The 18088-nt window shown below is 43.9% G+C and overlaps 1 protein-coding gene across 7 annotated transcripts in view, besides 1 other annotated feature; it reads left to right on the top strand.

The window, feature by feature from the left end:
• Positions 1810-2596: an enhancer, noted in NCBI's record as "NANOG-H3K27ac-H3K4me1 hESC enhancer chr5:70882826-70883612 (GRCh37/hg19 assembly coordinates)". NCBI's record gives its function as "activates a minimal SCP1, AML or CMV promoter by ChIP-STARR-seq in naive H9 embryonic stem cells {active_cell/tissue: H9 hESC(naive)}" and the evidence as "EXISTENCE:reporter gene assay evidence [ECO:0000049][PMID:30033119]".
• MCCC2 (methylcrotonyl-CoA carboxylase subunit 2) overlaps positions 2151-18088 on the top strand; it is a 71367-nt gene continuing 55429 nt past the window's right edge. For all 7 annotated transcript variants that reach the window (NM_022132.5, NM_001363147.1, XM_017009688.2 and 4 more), the window contains exons 1-5: positions 2151-2365; positions 7737-7803; positions 11091-11175; positions 14470-14571; positions 17317-17444. In NM_022132.5, coding sequence (NP_071415.1) covers positions 2237-2365; positions 7737-7803; positions 11091-11175; positions 14470-14571; positions 17317-17444 — 511 coding nt within the window. In that variant the 5' untranslated portion in view covers positions 2151-2236. The remainder of the gene's footprint in view (positions 2366-7736; positions 7804-11090; positions 11176-14469; positions 14572-17316; positions 17445-18088) is intronic.

Genomic DNA, 18088 nt, shown 5'->3' on the forward strand with positions numbered 1-18088 from the left:
AGGTAGCTGGGATTACAGGCACGTGATACTATGCCTGGCTAATTTTTGTATTCTTAGTAGAGATGAGGTTCCACCATGTTGGCCAGGCTGCTCTCAAACTTCTGACCTCAGATAATCCACCTGCCTTGGCCTTCCAAAGTGCTAGGATGATAGGCATGAGCCACTGCACCCGGCCAAAACAGGTATGACTTTTAAAGAAAGCAAGGAATCATATCCTATTGTGTCTTTTCTGTCTTCGGGTGGTGATTTTAAGTACTTTGCATCATTGAAGAACTATTTAGAGAAAAATAAAGTGTGGCAATTAAAATATCAAACCCTCTCTTCTGATACCCTGATACATATGAAAAGTCAGTTTTTACTGGCCTTTTTTTCTGTTGACCATGGGAGGCAAGCACAGTGTAAATCATACCTTTGCAGTTTAGCTCATGCTCTCCTCCATTTGCACAAAGCCTGGCCATGTTCATTGCTCAGTCCACTCTCAACGCTTCTGCAAGGCTCAGCTGCAACCCTTTCCCAATTGCATTCTGTTCCTTTAATGTCTGTCCTACACAGTTCAGTAAGAAATCATGTGGCCATTTGTATTATTTTCTTATAAGTACCTTGAAGTCTGAACCTAAGTTTACCTCCAGGTGTAGACGCACCCTTTCTCTACCCCATCCTCCCCCTTTACTCTGCCCCACTAAGCAACCAATGGAGTAGAAGTAGTAAGTGCTCAATAAATATGTGAATGAAAAACCTTAAGTTCAAGGCATTTTGTATAGAATGTTTTAATTTTTATGGGTATATTTGGAGTCCTTTATTTAAGACCACAGTGCTGATGTCCACAATCTGTCACTACATAGTGCCTGGTGTGGTGGCTCATGTCTGTAATCCCAGCACTTTGGGAGGCTGTGGCGGGCAGATCGCTTGAGTCCAGGAGTTCAAGACCAGCATAGCCAACATGGTGAAACCCCTACAAAAATAAAAAATTAGCCGGGCTTGGTGGCACAAACCTGTAGTCTCAGCTACTGGAAAGGCTGAGGTGGGAGGTCAAGGATTCAGCGAGCTGTGATCGTGCCACTGCATTGCAGCCTGGGCGACAGAGTGAGGCCCTGTCTCAAAAAATGAAATAAAGTAAAAAATAAAAATAACTACATAGCGAAAATAATCAGAAGAATGTTTAAGGTCTCCAGTGAAAGGACAACAGGCTTGTTGTGCTGTTCGCAAGCACGTGTTAGATGCGATTCACTCATGTTGTTGGTGTGTCACTGGGGGTTGTGACTGCAAGTTGTCCAGGTTCTTGGCATTGTGAACAAAGAATTGGACAAAACGCCCAGCAAAGCAAAGAAAGAACAAGGCAACGAAAGAACGAAAGCAGGGATTTACCGAAAACGAAAGTGCACTCCACAATGTGGGAGCGGACCGAGCAGAGCTCAAGGGCCCGGATATAGAATCTTCTTGGGTCCAAATACCCACTAGAAGTTTCCTATTGGCCATTTTATGCTCACCTCAAACCCGATTGGTTGCAAGAAGCAAGCAGTCAGAGGCTAGGGTGAAATTACAAAGTTATACTTCTATGCAAACGAAGACTGGACCCCCAATCAGTCTGATTGGTTGTGGACAGCAACCATTCAGAGGCTGGAGTTAAGGTTCAAACTTGGCAAAGCAAGCCTCCACCAGCAGTAAGTCTGATTTGTCGGGGACAGCCAATTTCCTATCTGCCCTGCGGAAAAGGTGGGGGGGTTTGCAAAGGGAGTAGCCTTTGGTCCTTTTGTTACTTAGGCATGGAAAGTTAGGGTTTTCCTTTCAGTTTAGCTCTAGGAAGTCAGCGTGAGACAGCCTTAGGTTCCCTGCTTCCAGACTTATTCTCCTGCCTTAGGTACAGTCACTATCGTGATATTATCTATCGCTGTGTCAACACAACACCAATCCAAGCCCAACCGCAGCTCTCTCACTGCCGCACCGCTTCGTGAGGGTCGATCCGCCGGGGAGACCTGCTCTCCTGCGCTCGGGACTAGACGCGACCTCGCGGGGCTGAGGCTCTGTCCCTTATTGGCTGGGTCAGGGGGCGTGGCGCGGCTTGACCAATCGCGGGCGGCGCGCTTAGGCACGTGTGTGGACAGGCCTGAGAATCAGAGAAACCTTCTCTGGGGCTGCAAGGACCTGAGCTCAGCTTCCGCCCCAGCCAGGGAAGCGGCAGGGGAAAGCACCGGCTCCAGGCCAGCGTGGGCCGCTCTCTCGCTCGGTGCCCGCCGCCATGTGGGCCGTCCTGAGGTTAGCCCTGCGGCCGTGTGCCCGCGCCTCTCCCGCCGGGCCGCGCGCCTATCACGGGGACTCGGTGGCCTCGCTGGGCACCCAGCCGGACTTGGGCTCTGCCCTCTACCAGGTAGGCTGAGCGCCCCGGTGGCCTGGCCGCCGGTGCCAGGCTAGGAAGCAAGTGGAGGAGGGGCACGCTTCAACAACTGCTGCTCTCTTGTCCGGAGCCCCAGTTGATTCTGTGACGCACGTGAAGTTTGAAGAAGAAAAGCCTAACAGATACAAGAAAGTTTAGTTCACTTTTAGAGCTGGCACTGTACTTTGTGTCTTTGAAATCAGTGGTTCTTAAAGCCTGGTTTAGAATTGCCACCTGGGGAGCTAGCTGAATAGCTGCCTGAGCCCTACTCTGGACCTTGTGGGTCTCAGGTGGAGTCGCTGTGTTTATATTGTTAGTGAACTCATTAGGGGACTTTTGGCAGCCAGCTTTGGGAACCACTGGCCTAGAGCAGCCCAACGAGGGGCGCTGTGCTTAGGAAATTTGAGTTTAAAAGTTGATTATGATGGCCGAGCCCAGTGGCTCACGCCTGTAATCCCAGCGCTTTGGGAGGCCCTGGCGGGTGGATTACCTGAGATCAGGAGTTCGAGAACAGCCTGGCCAACGTGGTGAAACCCCATCTCTACTAAGAATACAAAAATTAGCCGGGCATGGTGGCGCGCGCCTGTAATCCCAGCTACCTGGGAGGCTGAGGCAGGGGAATCGCTTGAACTTGGGAGGCGGAGGTTGCAGTGAGCTGAGATCGTGCCATTGCACTCCAGCCTTGGCAACAAGAGCGAACTCTGTCTCAAAAAAAAAAAAAAAAAAAAGTTGGTTATGTTAATAGAAAATATCCCACAGTATCTTTGAGTGGCTTTTCTTGGAATTAGGAGGCATCATAAGGCCAAAAAACTCAAAACTTGCGAAATATCAGAGCTGGAAAATTTCACTGTGTTCCCACGATTTCTAAGCCTATACAGATAACATCTAAATAGTGCAAACAACACACAATTGTTTGTCAGTCCAGAATGTTTAATTCAGAATTATTAAGTGGTTATTGTGGTCTAGGCACTATTTTAGATATTTGGCATGGATGCGTAGGAATGGAACTAATAATTTTGTAGGGAAGATGGACAAGAAAGCAGGTAACTGTGGTACAGTGTAAGAAGGGTTGTCTAAAGCTTGAGAAGGTGGTTACAGAAAGCTACCGATAGGAAGTAATGGGTGAGATGAATCTTGGGTAAGAGCTGGCCAAGTTCAGGGTGCAGGATGGAAGGTAAGACTGTATAAACCAAGAGAGTTACAAGAACATAGGTACTGAGTTATGAAAGTGTATATCTGGTGTGAGGACTTGAATTCCATGTCTAGGACATGGAATTCATTGAATAGTGTCTGGTGATGGGATTGATTGATTATGGGGCCAGATAGAGGAGGATCTTCCATGCAAAAGCCACATTTAGATTCCATTTGGCAGGTTGTCCATTAAAATATTTAAGTAGATAAGTGGCATGATCCTATGGATATGGTAGAATCATCAGTGTGGTGGCAATGTGGAGGATGGATTGATATAGGGAAAAGACTAGACCTAGGTGACAGTGGAGAGTTGAGTCTTGAGATGAAGGAGTCAAAGTTAGAGTTGTATGTAGGAGGGGGGCATAAATACCTGAGGAGCAAAGATTATAGAGTTAATAACTGAGTGGAAGGGGAAAATGGATGACTTTGGAGTTTCCAACTGGGCAGAATATTTAGTTAGGTGGAACTGCCATTAATACAAAGAAGGCTTTGGTGATGGGTTTTGTATGAATCACCTTTTGCTAGGTTGCGCTTTGTGTAACAAATAATCAAAAAATCTCAGTAACTCACAACAGTAAATATTAGTCTCTCACTTGATTTTGTTTTGTTTCTTAATCTCTCACTCGTGTTGGTGGCCTTTGGTTAGCTGCTGCTGTGACTGTTCCACTGCAGGGTAGGTTCAGGTCTGCTCCATGTGTCTTCCCATTCCTGGACTGAGGCTGAAGAGCAGCCCTGAATTAAACATGCCCTTCTCATGGCCGAAGGCACAGGAGCAAGAGGCTGAACACAAATTGGATTTAAAATCCTTGCTGGCATGTGATGAAATTAATGTGTGCTCACATTAGACAAAGCAAGTCCATGAGGGTGGGGGAGAATGGGATGAATGATCCAGTTTAGCTGTGTTTCCTGATTACAAATAAAAGCAACTATAATAAGTAATAATAATGGCAGGAATTTTATAGTGTACCCACCATTTTTCTAAAGGCTTTATGTGGTTTTACTCATGTATTTATCATAATGATCCTGTGCAGTAGGTACAATTGTTATTTCTGTTTTATAGATGGGAAAACTGTGGTATATAGGGTCCAAGAAATTTGTCTGAGATAACACAGAGCCTGAATTTGAAGCCAGGTGGTCTGGCTCATAACTCTTGAGTCCAGGGTCTTAACTGTTGCTCTATAATGCTTCTCACTCACCCAGCTCTACCTAGGTGGGTTCTATGGTTGAAAAGATGGGGTGGGAAACTTGTCAGTGGCTCAGCTCCAATTCATTATGACTGTCAGGCACTAACCTCTGTGGTTGCTCAGCTTCACAAGAAAATTACTAGGTTGTAGAATGTTGTTTCGCAGGTGATTAAAACACACACACACACACACACAAACACAAACACCTGGCGTCCTGAGAGATCAAGATTTGCCAAATGCAGTATCAGTAAGTAGGGAAACTGAAAGTTGAACTTGGTTTTGCCACTAAACTACACTGCCTCTTGGTTAGTGAGTCTCATCCTAAGGAGGCTAGGTTGGTTGATAAAGGATTGCCTGGGAGGTGAACTGTAGCCAGTACTGGCTCTTCTGTGATTTAAGTCTGATGGGCTGAGCTTGGCACAGATGTTGCCCAGTCTGTAGAGGCAAATGTCAGCTTCAGTGGGTCAGTGCTTTTCTTCTTTGACCCACTGGTTGCTTAAAAGTACGTTGTTTAATTTCCATATATTTGTGAATTTTCCAGTCATCCTTCTGCCATTGATTTCTAGTTTCATTCCATTGTGATTGAAAGGATACTTTTGGGCCAGGCATGGTGGCTCAGGCCTGTAATCCTAGCGCTTTGGGAGGCCGAGGCTGGTGGATCACCTGAGGTCAGGAGTTCTAGACCAGCCTGGCCAACATGGTGAAACCCTGTCTCCACTAAAAATAAAAAAATTACCTGGGCATGGTGGCGCACGCCTGTAATCCCAGCTACTTGGGAGTGTGAGGCAGGAGAGTCGCTTGAACCCGGGAGGCGGAGGTTGCAGTGAGCTGAGACTGTGCTACTGCACTCCAGCCTGGGCGACACGGCCAGACTCCGTCTCAAAAAAAAAAAAAAGGATACTTTGTATGATTTCAGTCTTTTAAAATTTATTAAGATTTGTTTTGTGGCCTGACATGTAGTCTATCTTGGAGAATGTTGCCTGTGCACTTGAGAAAAGTTACATACTTTTTTCTGCTGTTGTAGGGTGACAAGTTCTGTATATTGTGTTAGCTCCAACTGGTTCTTTCCCTAATACCATGCTGCTTCCTTGTTTTTTATTTTCTGGATTTTGCAGAGCAAGAGAATGTAGCAGAAATCATGACCCTCAGAGCTCTTGGAGCTGTAGAAAATAGGAAATAATGGAGATATACTGTAGACTGAATATTCATCTAAGTTTGAACAGTTAGGAAGTTGCTTAGTGTTCTGTCAAACAGAAGGAACTAAATAACTAGAGATGCTAATCACATGGGGAGCAAAATGTATTAGTGGGCCAAGTCTGAATTTCAAAGATAATTAGCTAGTTAAGTATTGTTCTAAAGTAATATGCTGACCAAACAAAATTTAAAAATACAGAAGGGTGAAAAGTTAGTCCCTCTACCTCTTTTCTACTTCTCACTGTCAATATTTCCTTGTGTATTACTTAATTTGTGTATATATGCCAGCATAGAGTTTTGTTCTGTTTTTTTTTTTTTTTTTTTGAGATGGAGTTTTGCTCTTGTTGCCCAGGCTGGAGTGCAATGATGCAATCTTGGCTCACTGCAACCTCCGCCTCCCGGGTTCGAGGGATTCTCCTGCCTCAGCCTCCCGAGTAGCTGGGATTACAGGCAAGCACCACCTTGCCTGGCTAATTTTGTATTTTTTAGTAGAGACGAGTTTTCTCCATGTTGGTCAGGCTGGTCTCGAACTCCCGACCGTAGGTGATCTGCCCGCCTCGGCCTCCCAAAGTGCTGAGATTACAGGCGTGAGCCACCACGGCTGGCCGAGTTTTGTTCTTTTTACTAATTTATTTATTTATTTGAAACAGTCTTGCTCTGTCACCCAGGCTGGAGTACAATGGCACGATCCTAGTTCACTGCAGCTTCAAACTCCTGGGCTCAAGAGATCCTTCCACCTTAGTTGGTCAAGTCGCTGGGACACACCACCATGCCCAGATAATTTTTAAATTTTTATTCTTTTTATTTTTATTCTTTTTGTAAAGATGGAAGTCTCCCTATGTTACTCAGGCTGGTCTCAAACTCCTGGGCTTAAGCGATGCTCCTGCCTCCGCCTTCCAAAGCTCTGGGATAACAGACATAAGCCACCACACTCAGCCTGTTCTTTTTAAAACATAAAATAGGATCCTTGGCCAGGTGCGGTGGCTCATGCCTGTAATCCCAGCACTTTGGGAGGCCGAGATGGGCAAATCACTTGAGGTAAGGAGTTTGAGATCAGCCTGGCCAACATGGCGAAACCCGGTCTCTATTAAAAATACAATAATTAGCTGGGCATGGTGGCACACACCTGTAGTCCCAGCTACTTAGGAGGCTGAGGCAGGAGAATCGCTTGATCTCGGGAGGCGGAGGTTGCAGTGAGCCGAGATTGCACCATTGCACTCCAGCCGGGGCAACAAAGGGAGACTCTGTCCCAAAAAATAAAAATACAAAATTAAAAATAAAAATAAGATCCTTTTTCTCCCTCTGGGATTTGTTTTTAAGTGTACTTTGTCAGTAAGCAAGCATTGGTTGGAATCTCAGATAGTGACTGATGGGACAGGAAAAATAAGATGGTATTCTAACCTTCAAAAAGCTTATATTCCTTAAAATAGGAAAACAAATAGAGATCAGTTTAAGTTCAGAAGGTGTTTAAGGAAGAAAGATGTTAAATTGAGTAGGAGTGGCCAGAAGTAGAGTTGAAGATGAGATAAAACATGAATTAGGCTTACAGAGGAGTAAGATATGGAGAGATGGACAAGTGGGGTGGTGAAGAAGAGCTTGAACAAGACAGGCAGGGGTGAATCTTTTCCATACGATCCAGTGGCCCAGCGTGGCTGCCACAGATGGGGTGGCCCAGTGTGGCGGCCACACAGAGTTGGCACAGACCACTGTTTTTTTTTTTTTTTTGACCTTTATTTTGGTAAAAAGGAATTGCTTTCTAATATTTCTCTCCCCTGTCTCCTCTATTTCTGTTTTAGGAGAACTACAAGCAGATGAAAGCACTAGTAAATCAGCTCCATGAACGAGTGGAGCATATAAAACTAGGTAAACACAGCATTTATTCCACAGCTTATGCCTTTACTTAAGATGTCCTAAAATAGTTATTGCTTTTAGGAAAAATACTGGAATTAAGCTTTTGATATTTTTTTTTTTTTTTTGAGATGGAGTCTTGCTCTCTTGCCCAGGCTGGAGTGCAGTGGCGCCATCTCAGCTCACTGCAACCTCCGCCTCCTGGGTTCAAGCCATTCTCCTGCCTCAGCCTCCCAAGTTGTTGGGATTACAGGTGCCTGCCTCCATGCCTGTCTAATTTTTGTATTTTTTAAATAGAGACAAGGTTTCACCATGTTGGCCAGGCTGGTCTTGAACTACTGATGTCAAGTGATCCATCTGCCTTGGCCTCCCAAAGTGCTGCAATTATAGGCGTGAGCCACTACTCCTGGCTGAGCTTTTGACTCTTAAGACTATGCATTTGTTGGTATGCAGGCATTTAATTTTATTTTTCCTATTACTTGGCCAGTTTTTCTCTTCATAGAGTACTACCACTTTTGGGGGGAAAAGTAAAGATTCAAATTCATAAATTTTATGAATAAATAATTTATTTTTAATTTTTATTAATTTTTTTTTTAAGAGATGGGTTCTTGCTCTATTGCCAGGCTGGACTGAACCCCTGGCTCAAGCGATCCTCTCATCTTGGCCTCCCAAAGTGCTGGGATTACAGGTATGAGCCACCACACCTGGCCAGTGATTTCTTAGTAGGCATTTAATATTTCCTCCCTAAGTGCTGAATCTCAGATGGAAAGCATTCTTCATATTTGATAGACTGTTTCAGATAACTTTTATCAACAAGTATATAATACTTAAAATTGTATATAATACTTTTAATGTAAAATTTTACATTTAGGTTAGAGTAGTTTAAATACTGGATCTCAGGAGTATAAAAATAGTGAAGAAGACTGGATTTGGAAAGTATGGTCTAGAATTGCTTATTTACTAGTTTATTTAGAGACAGGGTCTCCTCACTCTGTTGCTCGGGCTGGACTCGAAGTCGGGAGCTCAAGTGATCTTCTTGCCTCAGCCTCCCAAGTAGCTGAGACTGTACCTGTGCCCCTGTACGCAGCTATGGAATTCATACTTTTGAAGCCATTTTAGATCAAGGTGTTGTCTCCAGAAAAAGAATTCAAACTCTTGCTGAAATGAAAGTGTTTTGTTAGGGGTGATAACTCAATTGTTATGCCCATTTTGAGAGTTTGATTTGGTGAACTCACTGTCCCCCTTAGACATTAAGATGGTGGGTTTTGGGGCCAGGCACAGTGGCTCACGCCTGTAATCCCAGCACTTTGGGAGGCCGAGGTGGGCGGATCACATGAAGTCAGGAGTTCGAGACCAGACTGAGCAACATGGTGAAACCCTGTCTCTACTAAAAATACAAAATTAGCTGGGTGTGGTGGCGCATGCTTGTAATCCCACCTACTCGGGAGGCTGAGGCAGGAGAATTGTTTGAACCTGGGAGGCGGAGGTTGCAGTGAGCCAAGATGGTGCCATTGCACTCTAGCCTGGGTAACAGAGCGAAATTCCGTCTCAAAAAAAAAAAAAAAAGAGGTGGGTTTGACTCAATGGAGGGTTGAGGAGTCCTGTGGCATCAGGTGCCTGCTGGGGATGGTGGATGCTGAGGAACCGTGGTGCAGGCTGGTGGCCACAGGAGGGTAGAGGACTGAGCCGGACTCCCTGGGGAAGGAGGTAGGGAGAAGGGGGAAAGGACAAACTTGGCTGTCACAGCTTTGCCAAGAATTAAATGTCAGGGGAGCTTAATTATGTGCTCTGTGAGCCTGCATCAAGGATAACCCTCTTTCTGGTTCTTCCTAATAAAACCAGAATTCACCAGCTGCTCCAAATTGTAAGGCCCCACTCTAGACAGAATTGCTAAAGAGTGATGTTGTCTTAAGTCTCTCTCTTTTTTTTTTTTTTTACTGAGACGGAGTCTTGCTCTGTCACTCAGGCTGGGGTGTAGTGGCGCGATCTCAGTTCACTACAACCTTGGCCCCCCGGGTTCAAGCGATTCTCCCGCCTCAGCCTCCCGAATAGCTGGGACTACAGGCATGCACCACCACACCCAGCTAATTTTTCATATTTTTAGTAGAGATGGGGTTTCACCATGTTGTCCAGGCTGGTCTCAAACTCCTGGCCTCAAGTGATCCACCCACCTCAGCCTCCCAAAGTGCTGGGATTACAGGCATGACCCACCTGTCACTTTGGGAGGTCAAGGCAGGAGAATTGCATGAAGCCAGGTGTTTGAAACCAGCCTGGGCAACAGAGTGAGACCTCATCACAAAAATTTAGCTGGAGTGGTGGCACATGCCTGTAGTCCCAGCTGCTGGGAAGCCTGAGGTGAGAGGATCACTTGAATTTAGGAGTTCAAGGCTGTAGTGAGCCATGCTGGCACCACTGCACTCCAGCCTGGGTGACAGAGTAAGATCTTGTCTCAAAAAAAAAAAAAAAAAAGGTCCTACTTGGAAGATCGTTTGAGATTATTTTCTTGCCTAAATAAACAAAGAAATAGCTTTCTGAAATAGCTGAACATTTCATTAGACAAAGACTATATTAAGATGAAATTCTTGGACACCAATAAAAATAAACTAATGTTTTAATTATTAAAGGTACAATTTGATACTTCTGTTCTTGCTCCATTACCTTGGTTTGCCGAGAGTGGGTTATAGATATTCCCAAGAATACTCCAGTGGGCTCTTCAGTTATAATTTTCTTTGTCTGTCATGATGTGAGCAATGTTGAGAAGCACTGAAGACAATCTCTGAGTCAAGGAAGGGGACTTTTAAATTGCTAAAGTGTTCAACTCACCCAGTTGCAAGCCTAAAAAGTTACGGATCACTAATGTCATCTTTAGGTAAATTTACTGCACTTATCATGGAAGTAATTTCTAAAATTTTATTTTTACCTGGTACAAATGAAGATAGGAATTTTCCAGATCTATCATAGCATGTATTTAATAAATGTGGTGGAGATGAGGCATTATTTGCAATATGTGAGCTGCAGAGAAAATACTCTGTAATTTATGTAACTACTAGTGAATTCAGAACATAGACTCTAGGATATACTCTAAAATCAGGGATAGATTGATTTTTTTTTAATACCAGTTTTTACATTTACTTCAGAAAATTGGCAACTTGTAAGTTGAGTGAATGATTATTAGCCTTTTCTCAGAGGATATGTTGAACTTTTAAAAAGTGCTATATTTTGGATTAAGTATTATGTTTTTCTGGCATTGAGACCTTTTTATCGTGTCAATCTAATCTAATCTAATCACATTTCTATCATAGGAGGTGGTGAGAAAGCCCGAGCACTTCACATATCAAGAGGAAAACTATTGCCCAGAGAAAGAATTGACAATCTCATAGACCCAGGGTGCGTACATAGCCAAGTACTGACTCAGAGTGTTCTCTGTTCCATAGTACTTTATTAGACAGTCTTGTAAATCAGTTATTTTGAATTCTAGTTCTCATCGTAAGATTCAGGAACATGTGTTTATTGAGAGCCTACTATGTGTCAAGCACTATGTGTTGACATGTTTATTGAGAGCCTACTATTGGTCAGGTACTAGTGATATATCAGTGACCAAAACAGACACAGATCTTTGCTCTACTAGAGTTTACATCATAGCAAAGGGAGACAGAAAGCAACAGTAAAGACTGTAACTTCTGGCTGGGTGTGGTGGCTCACTCCTGTAATCCCAGCACTTTGGGAGGCCGAGGTGGGCGGATCATGAAGTCAGGAGATTGAGACCATCTGGCTAACATGGTGAAAACCCGTCTCTACTAAAAATACAAAAAATTAGCTGGGCATGGTGGCATGTGCTTGTAGTCCCAGCTACTCGGGAGGCTGAGGCAGGAGAGTCGCTCGAACCCCAGAGGCAGAGGTTGCAGTGAGACGAGATTGTGCCACTGCACTCCAGCCTGGGTGACAGAGCGAGACTCTGTCTCAAAAAAAAAAAAGATTGTAAATTCTGTAGTGTGTTAGTAAGTGACAAATGTCATGAGAAAAAGAAAAGGTGGCCCAGGGTAAAGGAGAGGAAGATATAGGGCAAGTTGCAGTTTTAAGAGGTGGTGCCAAGGTAGGCCGCATTGAGAAGGTGATGTCTGAGCAAAGATTTAAAGGAGGAGAGAGAGAGAGAGAGCCTTGTAACTCTCTGGGGAAAGAGTGTTTCAGGCAGAGGGAATGGCCAGTGCAAAGGCCCTGAGGTGGGAGTGTGCCAGGTAATGCTGGTATGCTCAAGGGGCAGCCAGGAGGCTGGGGTGGTTGTGGTGGAGGGAGTGAGGGGAGAGGAGTAGGAGATGGGTCAGATCCTGTATGGCCTTGTGGGTTATCATAAAGGTTTTGGTTTTCACCATGGGAGAAATGGGGAGCTATTGTAGGGTTTTGAACAGGAGATGATTATGATCTGACATAGCTTAAAAGAGTGCTTCTGGCTGCTGTGTTGTGAGTAGATGGAGCAGCAAGGGTGGAAGCCCTGTGACCAGGTAGAGGGCGATTGCAAGGATTTGAGGGAGACATGATGGGGACTCGGCATAGGGTAGTAGTAGTGGTGGTGGCAGGAGTGCAGGGTTCTGGATGTATTGTGAAGACAGAGCCAACCCAACAGGATTTCCTGAAGGATTGGATATGGAGTGTAAGGGGGAGAAGAGGGGTAAGTGAAAACTCCCAAAGTATTTTTTCTCCTGACACGTGCACACACATCCAACCTGGAGACAGCACTGTTAACACCTAGTATATTATCCTTCTAGGCCATTTGTATGCATATATATATACCAGACACCTACATTTTTTAAAAATGCAAATGAAATCGTACTAAATTTGCTGTTTTGTAGCCAGCTCTCTTTTTTCCCTCCTAATGTATCTTGACCATGTAAGTAAGTGAGAGGCGGACTAGTGGTTAAGAGCCTGGCCCCTGGGGCAAGATTGCTTATGAAGCTCCCGGCTCTGCCCCTTACTTACTGTGTAACCTTAGACAAGTGACTTGATCTCTGTGTGTTTCAGTTTCCTCATCAGTAAATGAGGGTCACAATAAGATCCACCTCAGAAGGTGGTTCTAAGGAGGACATGAGTGAGTGTTTCTTTTTTTTTTTTTTTTTTTTGAGACGGAGTCTCACTCTGTCACCAGGCTGGAGTGCAGTGGCGCGATCTCCGTTCACTTAACCTCCGCCTCCTGGGTTCAAGCGATTCTCCTGCCTCAGCCTCCCGAGTAGCTGGATTACAGGTGTGCACCACCATGCCCAGCTAATTTTTGTATTTTTAGTAGAGACGGGGTTTCACCATGTTGCCCAGGATGGTCTCAATCTCTTGACCTCGTGATCTGCCCACCTTGGCCTCCCAAAGTGCCGGGATTACAGGCATGAGCCACCACACCAGCCGATAAGTGAGTGTTTCTAAAGCCTTTAGAAGAGAGCCTGGTATTTGGAAAGGATTTTTATTTTAATTAATTAATTAATTATTTATTTTTTGAGATGGAGTTTTGCCCTGTTGCCCAGGCTGGGGTGCAGTGGCATGATCTCAGCTCACTGAAACCTCTGCCTTCCGGATTCAGGTGATTCTCCTGCCTCAGCCTCCCGAGTAGCTGGGATTACAGGCACGTGCCTCCACGCCTGGCTAATTTTTTTTTTTTTTTTTTTTTGTATTTTTAGTAGAGATGGGGTTTCACCATGTTATCCAGGCTGGTCTCAAACTCCTGACCTCACGTGATCTACCTGTCTCAGCCTCCCAAAGTGCTGAGATTACAGGCATGAGCCACCGTGCCTGGCCATTAGTTGTTTTTTGAGACAGGGTCTCATTCCATTGCCCAGGCTGGAGTGCAGTGGCACAGTCACAGTTCTCTGCAGCCTTGGCCTCCTGGGCTCAAGTGATTCTTCCACCTCAGCCTCCCAAGTAGCTGGGACCACAGGCATGTGCCATCATGCCCAGCTGTGTTGAAAATTTTTTTTTTTTTGTAAAGATGGGGTTTCCCCGTGTTGCTCAGGCTGGCCTCAAACTCCTGGGCTCAAGCAGTCCACCCACTTGAGCCCCACAAAGTGCTAGGACTACAGGCATGAGCCACCCCACCTACCTCCAAAAGTTTTTAAGAGATGGGGTCTTGGCTGGGCGTGGTGGCTCATGCCTGTAATCCCAGCACTTTGTGAGGCCGAGGTGGGCAGATAACCTTCAGGTAAGGAGTTTGAGACCAGCCTGGCCAACATGGTGAAACCCCGTCTCTACTAAAAATACAAAAAATTAGCTGGTTGTGGTGGCGCATGCCTGTAATCCCAGTTACTCGGGAGGCTGAGGCAGGAGAATCGCTTGAACTCAGGAGGTGGAGGTTGCAGTGAGCTGAGATCGCGCCACTGCACTCCAGCCTGGGTGACAGGGCAAGACTCCATCTCAAAAAACAACAACAACAACAAAAAAGAGATGGGGTCTCACTATGTTGTCCTGGCTGGCCTCCAACTCTTGGGCTCAAACAGTCCTCTTGTCTCAGCCTCCTGAATAACTGGGATTACAGACTTGAGCCACCACACCCATTTTAGATTTTTAAAAATAGATTTTATATACAACATGTGTATTTGAAATATTGTCCCATTGAGGAAAAATCTTTTCCTTTTCCATGTGTAACTGTTTAAATGTGTAGTTTTTAATGACATTAATTCAAACAACATCCTTTCTTCGCTTTAGGTCTCCATTTCTGGAATTATCCCAGTTTGCAGGTTACCAGTTATATGACAATGAGGAGGTGCCAGGAGGTGGCATTATTACAGGCATTGGAAGAGTATCAGGGTGAGTATTCTACTTGTGCTTCATAATGTGGGTTGAGAAGAAGACTTTGATGAGGCACAGGCATCCAGCACTCACTTTGCATATTAGCATGCGATTTGTATGCTATTTATATTATGTAGGACTGGCTGGGTGTGGTGGCTCACGCCTGTAATCCCAGCACTTTGGGAGGCTGAGGTGGGTGGATCACCTGAGGTCAGGAGTTTGAGATCAGGCTGGCCAATGTGGTGAAACCCTGTCTCTACTAAAAATAAAAAAATAAGCCGGCATGGTGGCACACGCCTGTAGTCCCAGCTACTTGGGAGGCTGAGGCAGGAGAATCGCTTGAACCTGGGAGGCAGAAGTTGCAGTGAGCTGAGATGGAGCCACTGCACTCCATCCTGGTGACAGAGCAAGACTCCGTCTCAAAAAAAAAACAAAAAGATGTCTTTCCATGGAGACAAGGGCAAGGAAGGAGACCAGTCTTTATCTTTTAACTAGAGATGCTCTAGTACTGGATATTATGGCTGAAAAAAATTCAGTCATTTAATAGGTATAAAGTAGTACTTAATTATAAATTCTTTCTTTTTTCCTTTTTTGTTTTTTTTAGAGATGGTGTCTCGCTCTGTTGCCTAGGCTAATCTCGAACTTCTGGGCTCAAACGATGTTGAATATAGGCTAGCACATCATTATAATTTTTTTTTTTTGAGTTGGGGTCTTACTCTGTTGCCCAGGCTGGAGTGCAGTGACATGATCATAGCTTACTGTAGCCTCAAACTCCTGGCATCAAATGATCTTCCTGCCTTGGCCTCCCAAAGTGCTGGGATCACAAGCATGAGCCATTGCTCTGGCCTTTATTATAATTCAAATTGACCTTTCTTACATAAAAATTGTTGAATGGTTTATATCATCACTACTCTTTCTCTGACAAATGACAGATGAGCTGAATTTGCTCAAATTAAGCAAAAAAGAGGATATATTGATTCTCTTATCTGGTGAGTCTGGGCATGGCTGTATCTGGGAGCTCAAATGGTCTTAGGTATTACTAGGTCCCAGGCTGTTTTCTACTCCTGGCCCTGACTTGCTGTGTGTCAGCTTTGTTTCTAGGCAGCCTCTCTAAATCCAGAGGCAGTGATGGTCATAGGCAGTTCCTGGTTTATATTCTATAAGTTTAGCAGCTGCAGTGGAAGGCAAGATCTGCTTAGGCTTAGAGCCTGTCCCATTGCCGAGCCTCAGTGGGAACTCTGGGTAGAAAGACCTGGTCCCTGTGCCCCCCTTTAAGGCAGGCTCTGGGGTCAGTCCTACTTGAGCCACCTGGATTAAAGATAAGAGGCAGTTTCTGAAAGAAGGTTTAGTTTTGTTGCCAAAATAATAGATGCTGGGTAGGCAAAACCAATAGAAATGCAATCTAGTATTTTTGTGGGCCAATTTGATTTCTCATTCTGTAACAAGTCTGTGACCTTTAATAGACAAGCAGATATGGCTATGTCCCTTGTCCATGGTCACATAACTAACAAGTTGGCAGAGCCAGAATTTCAGTCTAACTTTGTCTGACTTCACAGCCTGGCCTCTTTCCAGTACCAGAGCTTCTTAAACTTTCTAGCGTAGCACCCCCAGTGGTAGGAAGTATGAGCACACACTCTGGAGTGTGAGGTTATGGCCCAGCAACCTATGAGAAGCCTACATTTCCTTTGAAGTCTAGTTCGTTTAATGTTAAATCATTAAAAGTTTGCATTCTACTCTATAAAATGTTCATTGCAGTGCAGAAAAAGGTTTTATATGACCTAGGGAATAAAATTGATGCTCAAAGAAGAGTCCTGTTTGTCTTGTGGCGAGCCCTGCTGGCCACATATCCTAGTATGAGAAGCTCAACACTACCCTGTGCTGGGTGTTCAGTTGCCGTTCTCTATTTTCAGCAGGGATTTAATGACTCACTCTTTAGAGTTGTAGGCAGCATAAAGTGAGGTAACACAAACATCAGAAACATAAAGAAAATTGAATTTTGTAAAGAGCACACTGTTGTCATCTCAGATTTCAAGGGTACCTCTGACCTTAAGGTTTCCTGCCAGTGCTGTACAGTTTCCCCAACCAGCTGTGGTTGTTGGCCGCCCTGCTCTTTGTGACTCATACCCAATAAACTGGTTTTGGTGAGAAAGGGCACTGTTGATGACTCAGGATACCTTTCATGTGTTTTTAGTATATTAAAGTTTGCATTCATTCTGACTTCAGTTAAGATGAACGTTATATTTTAGACTACATTTAGTTTTGTAGAAAACCATGGGGCTGTAATGTTGAAGAACAAGAATACAAAAAATAAATCTTAGTACTAAAGGTCAGTTTTCATTTTTGCAAAATACCCTCCTAAAAGGAGACTTTGAAGGTTTATTATGAGGGAATTCTTTTCCCTTGAGACTTGGATTTTTTTTTTCATTATTATTTTCATCTTATTAGGACCTTTTCATTCAAAGAACCATTATGACACAAGGCTTAGGTTGTTAGTTTTTTATTACTAATCTAGGACTGATGACTTTTCAAAAACCAAGTGTGAGTTTATAAACTTGTTAGAAGTAATTGTTTTGTATTATATAAATTAATATGTGAACTGTGATTAAAGTTTGCATTTATATCCTAAGACTGCTGTCTGCTAATGGATGTTAATAGTGATACGTACTAGAAGTTGAAGGTTGTATTGGGGTATCTTGTAATGAGTGTAATTAGTTTTGAAGAAATCTCTTAAATTCTCTCTCCAATGAAATTTCTGCCTTTCAGAGTAGAATGCATGATTATTGCCAATGATGCCACCGTCAAAGGAGGTGCCTACTACCCAGTGACTGTGAAAAAACAATTACGGGCCCAAGAAATTGCCATGCAAAACAGGCTCCCCTGCATCTACTTAGGCAAGTCACCAGAGTGGTAAAATAAACTATTATTAGCTGGTAAAATGCAAGATAGTTTGGAAGGCTGTATGTATTACATTTGGGATGGGTATTTTATAAACCTGTTGATTTCTCCTGTAATTATAAAGGAAACACAGGTTCTTTGCTGAAAACTCTGGGGGAAAGTAAACAAGAACTGTTCATAGTACTAGTGCATAATACTCATACATTTTGACGCATGCCAGTTTTTTTCTCTATGTGTTGTGTGGTTTTTTTTTTTTGTTCTCTAGATCCTGTTTTTCTTTTAACTTTATGGATCATACTATGAAAAAAATAGTAGCAAGTATTTATAGATCTCTTGAGTGCCAGGTACTGAGTTAAATGTGCAAGTATTATATAATTTGAGCAGATGTAATTTAAAGTAAATTTAATTTCCAGTGAAAGTAAACTTATATTTGAAATTAAAACACATTTAAATCAAAGAACCTGAAAGCAAAGCAGTTTAAAATGGGCCTTTCCTCCGGGCGCGGTGGCTCACGCCTGTAATCCCAGCACTTTGGGAGGCCGAGGCAGGCGGATCATGAGGTCAGGAGATGGAGACCATCCTGGCTAACACACTGAAACCTCGTCTCTACTAAAAAAAAATACAAAAAATTAGCCGAGCG

Source organism: Homo sapiens, chromosome 5, assembly GCF_000001405.40.
Source record: "Homo sapiens chromosome 5, GRCh38.p14 Primary Assembly".
Lineage (NCBI taxonomy): Eukaryota > Metazoa > Chordata > Mammalia > Primates > Hominidae > Homo > Homo sapiens.